Genomic DNA, 18,745 nt, shown 5'->3' with positions numbered 1-18,745 from the left:
GAGAGACTAAAATATTGTTTTAGCTTGAAGGAGACTGTAGTTGCATGCCAACTACATGTAACCCATAATTCTTAACTGAATCCACTATAAAGGATATTATTGGGACAGTTGGTAAAACCTGAATGAGCTCTGCATTAGATGGTAGTAATATATTAGTGTTAATTACCTGATAATGATGGTTATTTTGTGGTTATGTAGAAGATTTGTATTTGTAGGAAATCACACTAAAGTGTTGGAGTGCAGGGATGTTAACTTATTCTCAAACAGTTCAGAGACAATAAAGTTCCTTTTACTTTACCTGCAACTTTTCTGTAAGTTTGAGGTAGCTTTGAAAAGAAAGTTTTGACATACAGTTTTGGTATATTACAAAAGTTTCTCTTTTCAGGGCTGTTGCAAAGAAAGTTCATAGTACAATCCAGAAAATTAAGAAGGAAGGGAAGATGTCTGAGTGCTTGTTAAAAGCCATGCTGAATTGTAAAACTTTTGAAGAACTAGAACACGTGGTAAGGAATCCTTTTTATCTTTTAATGTAATACCTGAATATATTGCAATTTGGGTCTTCTTATGATTAAAGAACACCAAGAAATAAAAAGCTAACGTCATTAGCCACCATTATTTAATGCAACAAAATATTTATTCTTTATTCAATAAATATTTATAGAGTGTTTTTTTTGTGCTAGGCACTTGGGTTTACAAAGATGAATAAATACATAGTCTTTGTCTCAAGGAATTTCCAGTCAAGTAGGGAAGGACAGTAGATTATACAAACGTGAAGCTTATCAGAGAGGGCTGAACTAGAGATCCAGATGTGGATGTCTTCAGCCTGTAGTTGGTACGTGAAACCATGAGAATGGAAGAACTCAAGAAGTGTTTGTTAGCAGGTCAGGATTGACCACTGGAGGTTACCACCTTTTGAAGTGTGGATGGAGGATGTGAGAGCATAAGGAGGTAGGAAAAAAATAGAGAAGTATGAGGAGAATCAGGAGATGATGGTGCCCTGGAACAGCAGGGAAGAGAGTTTTAGATGGAGGTCATGATCAGCAGTTATGTGTAGCAGAGAAGTTTGGCAGAATGAAGACTGAAAAAAATATATATATTTGGTAATTAGGAGATCATCATGGATTTTTGTGATATCATTTCCTGCAAGGTATGTGAGAAGAGAAGCCAGATGATGGTGGGTTGGAGAGTGAGTGGATTAAGAAGTAGAAGAATTGGCTGGGCGCGGTGGCTCAAGCCTGTAATCCCAGCACTTTGGGAGGCCGAGGTGGGCTGATCACGATGTCAGGAGTTCAAGACCAGCCTGGCCAAGATGGTGAAACCCCGTCTCTACTAAAAATACAAAAATTAGCTGGGCGTGGTGGCGGGTGCCTGTAATCCCAGCTACTCAGGTGGCTGAGGCGGAGAATTGCTTGAACCCGGGAGTAGGAGGTTGCAGTGAGCTGAGATCGTGCCACTGCACTCCAGCCTGGGCTACAGGGCAAGACTCCATCTCAAAAAAAAAAAAAAAAAAAAAAAAAAAGAAGTAGAAGAATTGACCGGCCAGGTGCGGTGGCTCACGCCTGTAATCCCAGCACTTTGGGAGGCCGAGGCGGGCAGATCACGAGACCAAGAGATCAAGATCACCCTGGCCAACATGGTGAAACCCTGTCTCTACTAAAAATGCAAAAAAAAAAAAAAAAAAAAATAGCTGGACGTAGTGGTGCGCTCCTGTAGTCCCAGCTACCTGGGAGACTGAGGCAAGAGAATCACTTAAACCTGGGAGGCAGAGCTTGCAGTGAGCCGAGATCGCGCCACTGCACTCAGGCCTGGGCGAAAGAGCGAGAGTCCATCTCAAAAAAAAGAAAAAAACAAAAAAAACGAAGAAGTAGAATTATGTGTAGAACACTTTTAAAGGAGCTTGCTTGAGTTGAGGACTTTGCAGTCCAAGCAATGAGTTTTTAAGATGAGTGAAACCAAGCAACTAATTTAGCATATAGAAAAATATAAAGAATAAGATAAAGCACATACCATCTTCATACAGTAAAGCATTTTCAAATTAGTTTTAATTCATCTCTGAAGGAAGAGGAAAAGATTGAGAAAAGGATTTCTTTAGCATTCTCAGCATGTCCTCTAATTTTGTAACCTAGTTTTAACTTTTGTTTTTTTAAAACATAATCATATGTTTTCTGTCTTTATTTTCTAGTCTGCTCCATATAAAACTGGAAGCAAAGGGACTAAAGCCCAGAGAGCAAGACAGTTGGGCTTAGAAGGAGCAGCCAGGGCACTGCTTGAGAAACCAGGGGAGCTCAGTCTGCTATCGTACATTAGGCCTGACGTTAAAGGTACTGGCTTTATTTACAGAGATCAACTTTGTTTCTTTTTTTTTTTTTTTAATTTAAAAACGTATGTTAAAAAACTGTTTTGTTAAGTACTGATTATACAAAAGAATATTACAGCGTATGTAGAATAATTGAAATAAATCCTGACATACCTATTGAGTAGCCATTCAGCTTTTCTCTTTTGATGAAGTGCCTGTTCTAGTCTTTTGCCCGTTTTTCTATTGTATTGTTCTTTTTAAAATTATTATTTTAAAATAATTTTTGTCATTTATATGTGTTGCAAATCTTTTTTCCCAGTTTGTAACTTGTCTTTTCACTTTCTTTATGGCATCCCTTGATAAATAGGTATTAGTTGAGTTTTATTATAGTTAATCATCTTTTAAGATAATAGCTGTATTTTCTTTTTAAAGAAATTCCTTCATATCCCAAGTTTATAAAGATTCTCCTATATTGTCTGTTACAGCTTTTATTTCTGAAAATTTGTTTACTTGCAAAAGTCATAAATACTCTTTAAAAATGTCAAGAGTTTTGACATCCAGGAAGTGTAAAGTGAAGCTCCACTCTCACACTTCTACTGTAGAAGTAAAGTGTATTTTTCTGAAATTTCCCTCCAAGTGTATCTTCCTGTTTTGTGTGTGTGCATGCACAACAGAGAATAAGAGAGGGAAGAAGTAAGGGAGACATATTTCTAAGAAAAACTCAAGGGAAATGACAGTTGATAAATGTCAAGATGCATTGGTTTTATTGTAAAAATGAGTCTTAGAGTGACAACTTTGGTTAAGAGTGGCTTTTTCTCAGGAATTCGCTGTTAGGATTGAGTGGGGAAATTGATGTTTTGGTGGTCTCTACTCTCAAAAAATTATTTTTTTAATATTAAAAAATTATATAGTTAACATGTGCAACATGATGTTTTGATATACATATATTAATACATAGTGAAGTGAGTATTATAGTCAAACTATTCTATACATGATAATCAAGCAAATTAACATATTCATCATCTCACATAGTTACCTTCTTTTGTGTTAAGAGCACCTAAAATCTGTCTTAGCAAATTCACAGTATACATTACGATATTATTAACTGTAGCCCCCGTGTTGTATGTTAGAACTCTAGTCTTTTTCAGCCTATGTAGCTACAACTTTGTACCCTTTGACCTACGTCTTTCCACCCCGCCCCCACCTCCAGTTTCTTTTGTCCTTCTGTGGATCCCATAGGCTGGGACATGTAAATGTCTGTAGGGGGCAGTCTCTGATAACAAAATCCACAGTATGTACTAATCTGTAGAAAATTATAGCATACTATAGCCTGTTTTTATTTTACATAACCCAGCAAATGTGAATTTGTGATTTAAAAAACTGAGTGGGTGTGTCTGTAAAATCCAAATATCTGTTCATACCCAAACACACTTAATCTTAATGTTTGGAGAAGGGCAATAATGAAAAAGTAAAAAAGGATTATGTGAATTTAGAGATGGGTTGAAATGAGTAAAATTCAAGTTTGTTTAATTTTTAATGTGTATTTATAGTTAGATTTCCAAATGGTTGCAACACTTAATATTTTAATAATAGCTAAGACTATAGCTAAGCATTAAGGTTAACCACAGTGGGAAACTGTCTGTGCCCAGTCATCATATGTTTTATTAAAATGGAATGTTGAAACTTTCAGAATGTTAGATGCACAAAGGCTTATCGACTGCTTTTATTTTTATTTTTCTCCTTGTGGTTGATTTTCTTTCCTTCTACTTCTCACTACCTTTGGTACCAAGGTCTCTTGAGTTCTCTCATACACTGAGTTCCTACTGGGTAGGTTTTTGATAACCATATCTCTTTGGATTGTCCTACATGGTGATGCTGCTGGAATATATGACAATGGACACTTGGTGATACTTCTTATAATGTGGATAGTTCAGGGTCTAGCACAGTTACAGTAGTACTGTACTAGCAGACGTGTGAGGACTTTTGTTTGCTTTACTCCCTCTTTCTTTTACCCTGATCAAAAATGTAGAATTATTATTAGTAAGTCTATATAAGCTAGGTACTGCTTTTTTTTTTAAGTTTGATAGGAATGTTTTCTCTTTCTCTTTGTCTCCTCCTCCTTTATGTTACACACAATCATGATCATCCTTAATTTTACTTGTTTTTCGAAAGAAGTTTCATAATTCCTATCATTCCTGAAAGAAATATTTAAGAAACCAGATAGTTCAGTTTTTTTTTTCCCCAGTAGAAGACACTTCTTGCTTGCTTGCCACAGACCAGTAAGCATTTGGTCTGAATCATAAAGCTATACTGTGCCACAAATGGACTATGTCCTGGGAGATCCAAAATACTACTTTCGTGTCCAAGAGGAAGTTCTGTCATACATAAGAAGAGGTAGCTTAAGTGCGGAGAAAGTGAAAAGAAATGTTGGCCTTTCGGTTTTTGTTTACAGGTGTGGAGGTTTGAAGATTCTGTAGCTGGGAAGATTTCATTGTAAGGCAAAGGATATGATTTTCTGGTTCTGTGTACCATATTTCCTCCTGATTTAACTGAGGTGCTAAACTTTTGGAACATCTGTTATCTTGGCTGTATTAAACCCACAAGATCTATTCCCTTTGATTGGGAAAGGAGCTTTTTCAAAACACAGAAGACTTTCCTTTTAAATTATTTTTCTCCCTGGTTGGACTGAGAAGGGGAATGTAATTTGAAAGAGTGTCCCAAATGATTCTGATAATTTCTATCTCCCATTGAGAACCACTGCTCTAGAAGTAGCTCAAGGCATTTCCCTAGTGGCAGTTTTTTAAAGTTGAATGAGTATCAGAGTTATCTGGGACACTCCGTGAAGTACTTCATTTCCACAGTCTAGCCATTCATAGTTTTAACAAGTACCTGGTATGATTTTATTTTTGGGTCCTTGGACTACACTTTACAACATTTCTCTAGCGCTCTAGCACAATTTTAATTAGATTCATTAATTACATAAAGTTTCAAATTATATTCCCCTCTTATGATGGGGGATTTTCAAAGGCCCTTTCTTATTGCAAAGTCTATAATTTCTTCTGTCCTCTGCTTCCATTAATGGTTCTCCCTGTAGGTTCCATCTTTACTATTGAGTTATCACCCTGTTGTTGTCATTAAACTTCATGTGATGATGCTCTGGGATACTTGGAACTCCAGGAATTAGTTCTTGTGAATGGTTTTCCTAGATGAAGACTGAGAGAGCTAACAGAAGAGCAAATGTTTATTGAGTGCTCTATGTGTTATAGCTGTTTTAAGTCCATTAGATATACAGTCTCCCATCTTGTAAAGGTAATTTGTTACTGAAAATTCCCTCATAGGAAAGTTTTCTTAAAATGTAAATAGAATTACTATTAGTTTCATTAGCCACATTTCTTTCTTTAAATTTCTTTAAAATGTAATTGACCGTTGCATAATACAGAGATTAGGGGAACAACCCCCACCCCCCCCGACTCCCTCTTCAAAGTTGAAAATTTAGGTATAACTTTTGACTTTATAAAAACTTAATTGTTAATAGCCTACTGTTGACCTGAAGCCTTACTGATGACATAAAGCTGATTAACACACATTTTGTGTGTTATATGTGTTATATACTGTATTCTTACAATAAGGTAAGCTAGAAAAAAGAAAATGTTATTAAGAAATTTGTAAGGAAAAAATATATTTACTGTTTATTAAATGGAAGTGGATTATCATAAAGGTCTTCATCCTCATCATCACATTGAATAGGCTGACGAGAAAAAGGAGGAGGAGGAGGAGGAGGAGTTGTTTCTGTCTCAGGAATAGCAAAAGCAGAAGTGGTGGAGGAGGTGGAAGGGGTGACGAGAGGCAGGCACCCTTGTTCCAACTTTTATTGTAATTAATCCATGTAGAAGTGCAGACTGGTGCAGTGGCTCACGCCTGTAATCCCAACACTTTGGGAGGCTGAGGGGGGCAGATCACTTGAGGTCACGAGTTCGAGACCAGGCTGGCCAACACAGTGAAAGCCCGTCACTACTAAAAATACAAAAATTAGCTGGGTGTGGTGGTGTGTGCCTGTAATCCCTGTTACTTGGGAGGCTGAGGCAGGAGAATCACTTGAACCCAGGAGGCAGAGGTTGCAGTGAGCCAAGATCGCACCACTGCACTCCAACCTGGAAGACAGTGAGACTCCATCTCAGAAAAAGAAAAAGAAGTGGACCTGTACCCATGTTGTTTAAAGGTCAACTGTAAACATAATTACTTCAGTAGGTAACATAGCTATCCTAACACAACCAAACTAGATATTTTCTATTTATTAATTATGCCATAACAAATATCTTCCTGTCCTCTTTGGCTTTTGTACCTTATTACTTATTAAAACTTTACTTACAGGAAAATATACATATGATATGCAGTGCTTGTGTAATTCAGGTTTAGTGCAAAAAACGTTTCATGCAAATAGAATGATAAAGACAAAAGAAATGAAACAAAGCAGTGCAAATGATCTCTCTCAGTGTAAGTTGATATCAGAAAGACCTTGATTTACAAGATTCATTGCTATAAATTAGCAAATTAGAAATGCTTAAAGAGAACTTAATGCTCATCTGTAGACAATTTAACTGTGAAGAGGAACAACTGCATGAAAACTCTTGTTTTGTGCTTTTGAGATTTGTGAAATTCAAATGGGTCGTTGAAAATGTGAAAAAATGCCCCATAATCCAAAATAGAAATTGCTTCTAAAGGATAATTTTTTAAACAAATGGAGTAGTGTCCCTTGGGTTTTGACTCTATTAATATATATTTCCCATAACATCTTTAGTATTTGTAATCACTTCATAAAGGAGGTACTGTTATGATTCCATTTTTATAGGAAACTGAGGTACAGAGGAGTCAAGTAGGTTGCCCAGTGTCTCACAACTGGCAAATGGTAGAACCAGGATTCGACAAGGCAGCTGGCTCCAGAGATGCATTTTTACCACTGGGCAGTATATTATGTATTATGTCTGTATTATTGCTTTTGGAGACTTGTTTTTGTTACAAAGGGAAGCTAGTATACTGCTGCAATATCTTTCTGTCTTAAGACTGTCAACTTAAGGTTTTATTTTGACTGGAATTAATTTACTGTGATTTAGTTATAGAATTTAAAACCAATCGTATACTTTTTGTTTTTGTTTTCCTTTTTACCCTTCTCCTAAAGGGCTTTCAACGCTTCAGGATATTGAAATAGGAGTGCAGCATATTTTAGCAGATATGATTGCTAAAGACAAAGACACGCTTGACTTCATTCGGAACTTGTGAGTATCTCTTTTATGGAGTTTTCTGCTTTATGGACTCATGCTGTTAAGGGTCACACGGTTAGTGCTAATACCAATGTTCATTAAAAACTTTGTTTTCAGACTTTTTTTTAAAGTAGCAAAACTCTTTGTTCAAACAACAGAGCCCAAATATATAAAACAGATAAAAGTAAAGTTGTTTTAATTGAATTCTGGACAGGGAGCCTGGAACTCTGCCTACTCACCCTCCTTACACTGAGGCATCTCAGTGGAGGGGCCTGATGAGTTTAAAAACCATTGCCTTACACAATATATACGAAGAGAGATTCATGTCCTTTAGAGTGGCATTGCTTTTTAAACATGTTGATTGTGATGTATGCTTATTTTATAGTATCTCGTTTCTGGTGTTTACCAGTGATTGGCTTTACTTGAGAATGTGTAATATCAGATATGAATAAAAGTACTGACCTCCAAATGATTTTTAGCTGTTGAGGAGAGCAGCTTATCTATGGCATCACAGTCCCAATTTATCAGACATTAAAGATCTTTGACCTAGAGCCTTCTTGGGCTTATGGATTTTATGCATCATTAAAAAAACACATTAATTAAAAACCCTATTTTTGTATTATTTTGTTCTTTTTCTGCTGTGTATCAGAAGACAGGTTTCTGCTAGAGGTTTGTTCTTCCTCTCTCTCCCTCCACATATCTAGCTGTTTGAGCTGTGCAGAGGAGAGGAAAGGAGGAGATGACCTAGTTGACTACTGTTGCTAGAAAGAACTTTTGTATTTTCTCAGTGGCTCCAGCAGGAATGAGTTGAAGCAAAATAATTGCTCAGGTTTTAAAATGTGTTTTTATAAGTAATTATGCCACTTAAATTTGGTTCAGTATTATAAATTGTTATTGGAAGCTGTCCTGACACATCCTTTTGTTTCTCTTTTTTTAAGTTTTTAATTGACTGTGACTGTCTTAGTGATTAGAAAAGTCTGATATTTAGATCAGAGCTATTGGTTTGATTTCTATAGATAGTTTTGATCTTTTGCATAATTGCAGATGGTTTCTGAATTCATTTAGGCATTTTATGGGAAGATTGAGTAGATATATAAATAGATCTGGAGGACTATGCTAGTATGAATAGGCAAAGAGTCCTTTTGATGGGGTAGTAATATCAATTTCATAGCTGGGCATCATTAAAAAAACTCACTTGGTAATGGCTTAACTTTTTTTGCTATCCTTATTTCTATATATTCTTTACTAAAGCACAAATTAATAACTGCTTGTTTTTTGAACACTTGTGTATCTGAACAGGTGCCAGAAGAGACATGTTTGTATCCAGTCATCTCTGGCAAAAGTATCCTCAAAAAAGGTAAATGAGAAAGATGTTGATAAGTTTCTGCTCTACCAGCATTTTTCCTGCAACATAAGAAACATTCACCATCATCAGGTAAATAAAGAAACTGCATGTGCATGCTGATTTCGTAATAATGATAATATTTTGGATTTGCCTGCTACTTTACTAAGAATTTAAATAATTTTATGTCAACTGTTTTCTTTTTTCTTTATATAAATTCTTATAATATTGTCATATCCTTGCCGCTTCACAAATTGGGAAGTAATGACCCGGAGAAGTTAACAAGTGACATTGAGAATTATTAGCAGAGCTGACAATATAACATTTTAGGTATCTTGACTTTTTGGCTGGTGATCTTTTTGTTAGACTCTGCTTCCCAGTATCCTTATATTTGAGCTCAATTCTGGATCTCTTCCCTGTGAAATACAAATATGAGATATCTGATTTAGAATAAAGTGTGAGAGGTCTCATTTACTTATATAAATCAGTCATTGTATCTCAGTGTTTTAATTTCATTTTTCAGTTTACTAATTTTTTTTCCTAAGTGTAGTCGTAGGCTATATCTACATTGTGGAATGTGGCTTTTAAATTACATAGGGCAAAAAGGAGATAAAAACCAAAAATACAGTAACACTGGCGTTTATATTTACATATATCATGACATTTATCAGTGTTCTTTATTTCTTTGTATGGCTTCAAGTTACTATCTAGTGCCCTTTCATTCCAGTCTGAAGCACTTCCTGTAATATTTCATGTAAGGCAGGTCTACTAGTGACAAACTTCCTAGTTTTTGTTTTTCTGGAAAATCTTAATTTCTCCTTTTTTAAAAAATTTATGTTTAATTGTGGTAAGATGAACATAACATAAAATGTACCATCATAACCATTTTTAAGCATACAGTTCAGTAATGGGAAGCATAGTCATATTGTTGTGCCACCAATCTCCAGCAATTTTTTTATCATGCAAAACTGAAACTCTATGCCCATTAAACATTTCATTCATTTTTTTATAGAGAGTTTTTAAAATATAGAATTCTTGGTTGATGGTTTTTAATTTTTCCCTTTTAATACTAAATATACCATCCACTCTTATGGTATGGCCTCCATAGTTTTTTATGAGGAATCAGCTGTTAATCTTACGATGCCTTATTCATGACAAGTCTCTTCTCTCTTGCTGCATTCAGGATTCTCTGTCTTTATCTTTTGACAGTTTGATTATAATGTGTCTTGTCATGGGTCTTTCTGAGTTTATCCTACTTGGAGTTTATTGTGATTCTTAGACGTGTAGATTAATGTTTTTCATCAAACTTAAGAAATTCTTCATAATAATTTTAAAAAATATCCTTTCTGCGCCTTTCTCTCCTCTCCTGGGTCTCCCATTATATGTAGAGAGTATGATTGATAGTGTCTCACAGGTCTCAGCCTCTGTTGCTTTCTTTTCTTTATTTTTTTCTTTTTTCTCTGACTGTATATTCCCATTTGACCTATCTTCAGGCTTGTTGATTTATTCTTTGTATTCAAATTTGCTGTTGAACCCCTGGCACATTTTTATTTCAGTCATTGTACTTTTCAGCTCCGTAATTTCTATTTTGTTCTTTTTTATAATTTCTAACTCTTACTTTTCTATATGGTTGAAAGATCATTCTCCTGGCTTTCTTTAGGTCTCTGTTCATGATTTTCTTGAATTCAGCATATTGAATAGAGTTAATTTAAAATCTTTGTTTTGTAAGGTCAATGTCTAAGCTTCCTCATGGACAGTTTTTTTTTTTTTTTTTTTTTTTTTGGTAAAGTCTGGATATGTTGTATTTTATAACTTGGTAACTCTGGAAATCAGATTCTCTCCCCTCCCCTGTTTGTTGTTGCTGCTTGTTTTGGGGTTGGTTTGCTCTAGTGACTTTTCTAAGTATTTTTGTAAATTTTGTTTGCTATGTGTGGCCACTGAGGTCTCCCTTGTTAGCTTAGTAACCATCTAGTTATTTAACAGAGATTCCCCTAAATGCCTGGAGCCAAAAACAAAAACAAAATAAACCCTAAAAGAAAAAAATCCCCTAAAAGAAAAAAACCCAAACTCTCCCAGACTTTGCAGATTGGCACTTTGTTGGGGCACTCCTTCAACACTTAGTGAGGCCATTAACAGCTCTGCCGTAGCCTTTTCTTCCTGTTTGCATGGAGCCCAAAGTTCATCTAGAGGTGAAAGCTTAAGGTTCCCTCAGATCTTTTCAGAGCATACACCTAGCCCTCAGCATGCCCAGGAATTTTAAAAAGCCCCTTTTCCCTCAAATATCTCATTTCCAAGTTTATTTTTTCACAGGTTTTTTGTTCTCTGTGTTAGTTGCTCCTGTATTATCCCTTACCCCTCATGGCTGGGGCTAATATATTTGCCTTTAAGTACTTTTGACAAAGGCCACCTGGGAGGCTTCTTCTGTCCTGAGTAAGTTCCAAGGCATGTGAAATAAAGACAAGCCCTTGAGTCAGTTCCTCAGGGACACACCAGACATCAAAACACACAACCATAGTTATTTGAGAATAAGGTCCATATTGCTCCTTCTGCAACCTGCCCTAGGAACGTGGGCTGTCATCTTCAGAGGCCACTGCTGAGCTGGAGACTGGGGTACGTTAAAAGTGCTCTCTTATAGAAATTCTGCAACTTCTTTCTGTGTTTCTTTCGTTGTTATAAAATTTTTATTAGATTCCATAGTTGCGAAAAAGTTAATTCTGACAGTTTTTGCTACCTTACCAGTTACCTTTGTGGAGGGATGGAATTTAGAGTTCCCTACTCCACAATTTTCAGTGATGTCACTCCTAACAACGTCTTTAAAATACAGTATCGCACACTCCTCATTCTATTCCAGAGCTGGAGTGTGGCTTTTAACGTTATATAAAGTTTTCTTTATTACCTTGTTTAATGCTTTTTATCCTGAAGTCTGCTTTGGTATTAGGATTGCCTTGCAACCTGTGCTTTCTTAAAGGAAATTGACCCCACTCTCCCTACTCTTGTTTTAATCTCAGCCCTACAATTATATTAAATGCTTGCCCTTGGTCCTTTTGCCAGAGCTTTCCAAAGCCTTTAGAGTGAATGAAACTTATTCTGTAGTCTAGTATACAGTTGGTAAACTTTTTCTGTAAAGGTCCAGTGAACAAATATTTAAGGTTTTGTGAGCCAGATGGCTTTTGTTGCAACTACGCAACTGCTGTGTAACACAAAATCAGTCATAGACAATGCATAATGAATGAGCATGGTTGTGTTTCAACAAAATTTTATTCACAAAAACAGGTGGCAGGCTGGATTTGACCCATGGGCCATAGTTTGCTAACTTCTGCTCTAGTGAATGTCTGAAGAAAGGTATATGTGTACAATATTCTCTGAGTTCTTACACATTCAAAATTGTTTTCTATGGCCTTAACACTTGAAGGATAGCTTGGCATGGTATAATCACTTTTGTTTGCATTTTCTTTACTTAAGTTTCTTGAATATGTTGCTCTGCTGTTGGCTTCCTTTGTATGTTATATTTGAGAAATCTGATGCCAGTATAATTCTCTGTCTCCTAGAAATGCAAAGAGGTGGGTCCTATGTTGTGTTTTATTTATTTTCTTTATTGGTTTTATAGTTTTTTGAGAAAGGAAGGGGGAGATTTGAAATTAGGAAACTGCCAGTGTTTTTCAAACGCGGAATTTCTCAATAAATAATTTTAAAATTTATTTTTCTTCCTATCTGCATTTTACTGCTATAAAGAGAGAATAATAGAAAAAAAACTAGTATTCCTAACCTTTCATGTAATACTTAATTTTCATCATTAAGAATGTAATTGTTTTGCATGGTGGCACATGCCTGTAGTCCCAGCTACTCAGGACCCTGAGGCAGGAGGATTGCTTGAGTCTAGGATTTCTGGGCTGAAGTGCGCTATGCCGATTGGGTGTTCACATTGAGTTTAGTATCAATATGGTGACCCCACAGGAACGGGAGACCAGCAGGTTGCCTAAGGAGGGGTGAACTGGCCCAGGTCAGAAAAGGAGCAGGTCAAAACTGTGCTGATTAGTAGTGGGATTGCTCCTGTGAATAGCCACTGCATTCCAGCCTGGTCAACAGTGGGACCCTGCCTCTTAAAAAAATAAAAAAGTAATTGTTTTTCATTTAAGATGACACAGATGTGAAAAATTTTTGTTTTGTTGTAACAAGACATGAAGAGTGTGAATTATCCCACAAGTATTTCCTGAAAGGTTATTTTATGTTGGGTCCTGTTTAGGGTGTAGAGGTAACATGGCCCTTGCCCATTTAAAGATTTGAAATGTTTCACTATTATATCTAAAATTGTCAATTTTACTTTTGTGTACACTATATTTACCACATCAGGTGAAGTACATACTTTCAATATTTTGAAAGAAAGTACAGTGAAATTTTACATACGTAGTTATTATAGTCTACTGATACAGGTATAACATAATGAAAAGTAATTTTTAATAGTACCAGTGACTAAGTATACTAACATTCCTTTTGCAGAAGTAGTTTTTCTGTCTTATTTTGTCCACCTTTTATGTTGATTTAATTTTATTGCAACTTTGGAAAAACATTAATGCTTTTATTCTGTTAAAACCTAGCCTTCTAATTTCTGCTTGAAAATATTTTATTGGGCTCTGCATTTTAACTAGTGTGTGTAGCAAATGTGGCATTCTGAGTTAGTGACTGAATTTAAGATTATGATTGACACAGGCTTCTGGGTGTGACAGTATTCAGGCCTGGGAAAGCAGAGCATTTTGGAAATGTCAGTTTTGAAAAACAGCACTGCTGTTTTACGAACTTTTTAGTTTATCATGTACAGGCCGGAGTGATGATATGCTAGGTTACAAAAACAGCTTCCCAATTCCTATAGTGCTGAGACCTCATGTCCTAAATCTGAACCTTACTTTTCAGCCTTTATGTAGATAACCCCAGCACAGTATCACAGAACACAGAAATGAATGCAAATGATGAAAGACAGTGTGGTGAAGGAAAATTACTGTGGAACTCTCTCCAAGTACTGTGGGAATAGCCGTTAATAGCTGCTTAGTAAATTCTTCCAGCTGCATCTTTTTTTCTTTCTTTTTCAAATTGGTCCTTAGTGTGATCTTTTCTACCACATGAATTTGTAACTCAGTCTTCACATTCTCTCATGGGACTTTCTGTTCCTTATCTTTATTGGTGTGTCTTTTTACTGACGTGCAATTTCCTGTGTCTTAACTACCTATTTCCTGTTCAATGTCACCATCTGCAGTAATTCCGCTTTAACCCACTACTCACTTTCAATTTCAGTTTCTGTCCCAAGCTTTATTATTTCTGTTACCTTATTCCCTTCTCCACCATGGGTCTTCCTGTGTGTCAGGATTTTTTGTAAGTTTGACGTATTACATTACTAGGTATGGTGAAAAAGAGCAAAAAACCTCCAATAATGTATTGTGATATTATGGTATACTTATGTAAATCGGAATTAAATAACTCTCCTCTATATTGTTGTACTCTACTTAATTTATTAGAGAAAATTTCTTGTATGAAGAACTTCTGTTTACTAAGCTGGCACAGCCTATAGCAAATACGGAAGTCTCTGCTGAGCTCAAACTGAAGTTTATTTTGTATTCACAATTTATTTCTTTATAGATAGTTCTGTGCAGTATTATTGAATATATTGTTTTATGTAAGCTTACTTTTTTTTTTTTTTCTTAGACAGTATCTTGCTCTTTCACCCAGGCTGGAGTGCAGTGGCAGAATCCCACCTCACTGCAAGTTTCGCCTTGCGGGCTGAAGGCATTCTCCCACTTCAGCCTCCTGAGGAGCTGGGACTATGGGCATGCACAAGCACACCTGGCTGATTTTTGTATTTTTTGAGAGTTGGGGTTTCGCCATGTTGCCCAGGCTCATCTTGAACTCCTGAGCTCAACCAGTCCTCCTGCTTTGGCCTCTCAAAGTGCTGGGATTATGAGCATGAGCCCCCATACCCAGCCGAAACATTTATTTCTAAGTGATTGTTCTATTTCTGCTGATGTTTACTTTAGAAATTTCTCAAGTATATAAGAAAAGAAAAAAGTCCCCTATATAATTTTTTTAAAACTCTGACAATTTGTTTGATATTTAAAATTTTACTCAATATTTTTAAAATTTAAATTAAAGTTACAAAAAAATACGCGTTTTATCTTTTGACATTCTTTTCAACATGAAGCACAAATTGAGAAATTTTCGTGGTAGAATTATTTTGTGGTAATATTAAGTTGAATTATTCTAAGCTTGTTTCACCACAGATAGGAAGTCTAAGTTTTTGTTAGAGATCCTCATGGAAATGTGCTAAAATTGTTAAAATATCAGTTTGTGTCCTGTAAAGGGAGAACTTAGTTTATTAAAATCCCATTCATTAAGAGTAATTGGAAGAAAGCCATTAAGAATTAGTGAGAAATCTGAATATATGTTGAAGTGATGTTGTTTAATTTTTAATATATAATATACATAAATATATAGTTACAGACTAGCAGATATTTAAGGGAGGCTGTTAACTTGATTAAATTATTTGGTTAATTTGTGTTACTATTTATCATCTTAATAATTGGTATTAAAGAGTGCTTTAAGAAAAGAGTGTTTTAATTTTCTAATAGGTTTATTGAAGTAAAATTCATATTGCATTTAATGCAACCATTAGAACTTTGTAAGTTCAATGGTTTTTCGTAAATTCACTCAGTTGTGTCACCATTACCACAAGCAATTTTAGGACATTTTTCTCCCAAATATTTCCTTGCATCAAGCTCTAGGCAGCCAACTTTCTATCTCTATAGATTTGTCTGTTCTGGTCATTTCATATAAAGGAATCATACAATATGCAGACTTTTGCCGCTGGTTTCTTTCACTTAGCATAATGGTTTCAGAGTTTGTCTGTTATGGTATGTATTAGTATGCCTTTCCTTTTTATTGCTACGTAATATTACATTATATGGATTCTCCACATTTTACTTATCCATTCATCAGTCAGTGAATAGTTTGGTTGTTTCTACTTTTTGGATATTATGAATAATGCTATGAACATTCGTGTCTAAGTTTTTGTGTGGACATATGTTTTTATTTCTCTTGGATATATACCTAGGAGTATAATTGCTGTGTTATATGGTAGCTTTACATTTAACCTTTTGAGGAACTGCCATATTTTCCAGAGTGGCTATGCCATTTTTACATTCTCACCAGCGGTTTGTGAAGGTTCCGATTTCTCTACATCCCTCCCAACATTTATTGTCCATCTTTTTGTGTTTTGATTTGCATTTCTCTAATGATGCTGAGCATCTATTCATGTACTTATCAGTCATTTGTATATAATTTTTGAACAAATACCTCTTCAGATCTTTTGTACATTTTAAATTGGGTTGTGGCCAGGCGCGATGGCTCACGCCTATAATCCAAGCACTTTGGGAGGTTGAGGCAGGCGGATCGCCTGAGGTCAGGAGTTCGAGACCAGCCTGGCCAACATGGTGAAACCCCATCTCTTAAGAAAATAAATAAATGAATAAATTGGGTTTTGTCTCCTTATTGTTGAGCTGTAGGAGTTTTAAATATATTCTAGATACCCTTATGTGACATATGATTTGCAAAAATTTTTGTCCCATGCCGTGCATTTTCTTTTCACTTTCTTGATACTATTCTTTGAGGCACAAAAACTAAAATTTGTTGAAGTTCAATCTAGTTTTTTGTTATTGATTACACTTTTGGTGTTATATCTAAGAAGGCTTTATGACTTGAGGTCATAAAAATTTTCTCCTTTTTTAATGGAAATTTTATAGTTTTAGTTCTTGTATTAAGGTCTAAGATCAATTTTGAGTTAATTTTTATGTATAGCGTGAAGTAGGGGTCCGTCCACTTTTGTTCTTTTGCATGTGGTGAGTTCTAGTTATTCATGATTTATTGAAAAGATTGGATTTTCTTCATTGAATTATCTTGGTACCCTTGTTGAAAATCAGTTGACACTATATGTATAAGTTTATTTCTGGACTCCGATTCTATTCCATTGTATGTCTATCCTTATGCCAGTCCCCACTGTCTTGATAACTGTGGCTTTGTAGTCAGTTTTGAAATTGGGAAGTGGGAATCTTCCAAGTTTATTTTGATTTTTAAAAATTGACTTGGCTATTCTCAGTCCTTTGAATTACTATATGTGTTTTAAAATTAGTTCACCAGTTTCCACAAAACATGCCAATTGGGATTTGATAGGGATTTCACTGAATTTGTAAATCAACTTGGGGAGTGTTGCCATCTTAGCAATATTAGGCCCTCTGATCCCTGAACATGGGATGTTCATGGGTATTTATTTAGATCTTCTTTAATTTCTTTCAACAATGTTTTGTAGTTTTCATAGTACAGTTGTTCCTTGGTATATACAGGAGATTGATTCCAGGATCCCTGCATATACCCAAATCTATGTATATGCAAGTCCCAGAGTTGGCCCTGCAGAACCCATGTATATGAAAAATCAGCTCTCCTTATGCGTGGGTTTCAGATCCTGCAATTACTGTATTTTCAATCCCTGTTTGGTTGAAAAAAATCCACGTGTAAGTCAACACATGCAGTTTAAACCTGTATTGTTCAAAGGTCAACCGTGTAAGTTGTGAACTTTTTTTGTTAAATTTATTCCTAAGTATTTTATTCCTTTTGGTGGTATCATAAATGGAATTAAAAAAAATTATTTTCAGAATGTTTATTGCTAGTATGTATAAATTAATTTTATTTGTTGAGCTTGTGTTCTGCAACTTTGCTGAACTCTTTATTAGTTCTAATAGTTTTGTAGTGGATTGCTTAGAATTTTCTATATATAAGATCATGTTAGCTGCAAATAGAGAAAGTTTTACATCTTCCTTTCCAATATAGATGGCCTCCCTTCTTTTCCCTGGCTAGAACCTTCAGTACAATGTTGTGAGAGTGGACACGCTTGTCTTGTTCCTGGTCTTTGACCAGTAAATATGATGTTAGCTGTGAGATTTCTGTGCACAAGCCCTTTCTCATATTAAAGAACTTTCCTTATATTTCCAAGTTTTTTGAGTGTTTTTTATCATGAAGGGCTACCTGATTTTGTCAGATGTTTTTCCACATCTATTGAGATGATCATAGGATTTTTGTTATTTATTCTATTGATATAATGTGTTAGGTTAATTGATTTTTTAGATGTTAAATCAACCGGGCATTCCTGGAATTGATTCTAGTTGATCTTGGTGTATAATCCTTCTTATATATTTCTGGATGTGGTTTGCTATTACTTTATTGAGGATTTTTACATCTATATTCATAAGAGATATTGGTTTGTAGTTTTCTTGTGAAGTCTTGTCTGGTTTTTGTATCAGAGTAATACTGGCCTCATAGAAATATATGTGAAGTTTTTCCTTCTCTAATATCTTTTGGAAAGTTTGTGAAGAATGGATATTGATTCTTTTTAGAATGTTTGGTAGAATTCAATGGTGGTGCCATCTGGGCCTGGACATTTATTTGTGGGAAATTTTCAAATTACTAATTCAGTGTCCATACTTTTTATAGGTGTGTTCAGATTTTCTGTTTCTTTTTGGTTTGTTTTTGGTAGTTTGTATCTTTTAGGAATTTGTCCATTTTATCTTAGTTATCTAATTTGTCATACAGTTGCTCATGGTATCTCTTATAATCTTTTTTATTTCTATAAGGTCCTTAGTAGTGGCCTCTCTTTTGTTCCTGATCTTGGTGTTTGAGTGTTTCCTGTTGTTTTTCTTGATTAGTCTAGCGAAAGGTCTGTTAATTTTGTTGATATCTTCAAAGAACCAACTTATGGTTTTGTTGATATTTATTGCTTTTCTATTCTCTATTTTATTTTTACCCTATTATTTATTA

At 35.2% G+C, this 18,745-nt stretch overlaps 1 protein-coding gene and 1 pseudogene across 8 annotated transcripts in view; both read left to right on the top strand.

Annotated features, from left to right (window-relative positions):
- Positions 1-18,745, top strand: part of SRBD1 (S1 RNA binding domain 1) — a 222,588-nt gene that overhangs the window by 29,072 nt on the left and 174,771 nt on the right. For 6 of the 8 annotated variants that reach the window (NM_018079.5, XM_011532946.3, XM_047444860.1 and 3 more), the window contains exons 6-9: positions 386-503; positions 2,183-2,321; positions 7,473-7,569; positions 8,854-8,989. In NM_018079.5, the coding sequence (NP_060549.4) occupies positions 386-503; positions 2,183-2,321; positions 7,473-7,569; positions 8,854-8,989 (490 nt within the window). Of the gene's footprint in view, positions 1-385; positions 504-2,182; positions 2,322-7,472; positions 7,570-8,853; positions 8,990-14,180; positions 14,261-18,745 lie in introns of those variants that run through there. The other 2 variants (XM_047444862.1, XM_047444861.1) reach the window with 2 other exon arrangements.
- On the top strand, positions 12,704-12,997 carry RN7SL414P (RNA, 7SL, cytoplasmic 414, pseudogene; annotated as a pseudogene).

Source organism: Homo sapiens, chromosome 2 (assembly GCF_000001405.40).
Source record: "Homo sapiens chromosome 2, GRCh38.p14 Primary Assembly".
NCBI classification, from domain to species: domain Eukaryota; kingdom Metazoa; phylum Chordata; class Mammalia; order Primates; family Hominidae; genus Homo; species Homo sapiens.
This window is presented reverse-complemented; position numbering and strand designations above follow the sequence as displayed.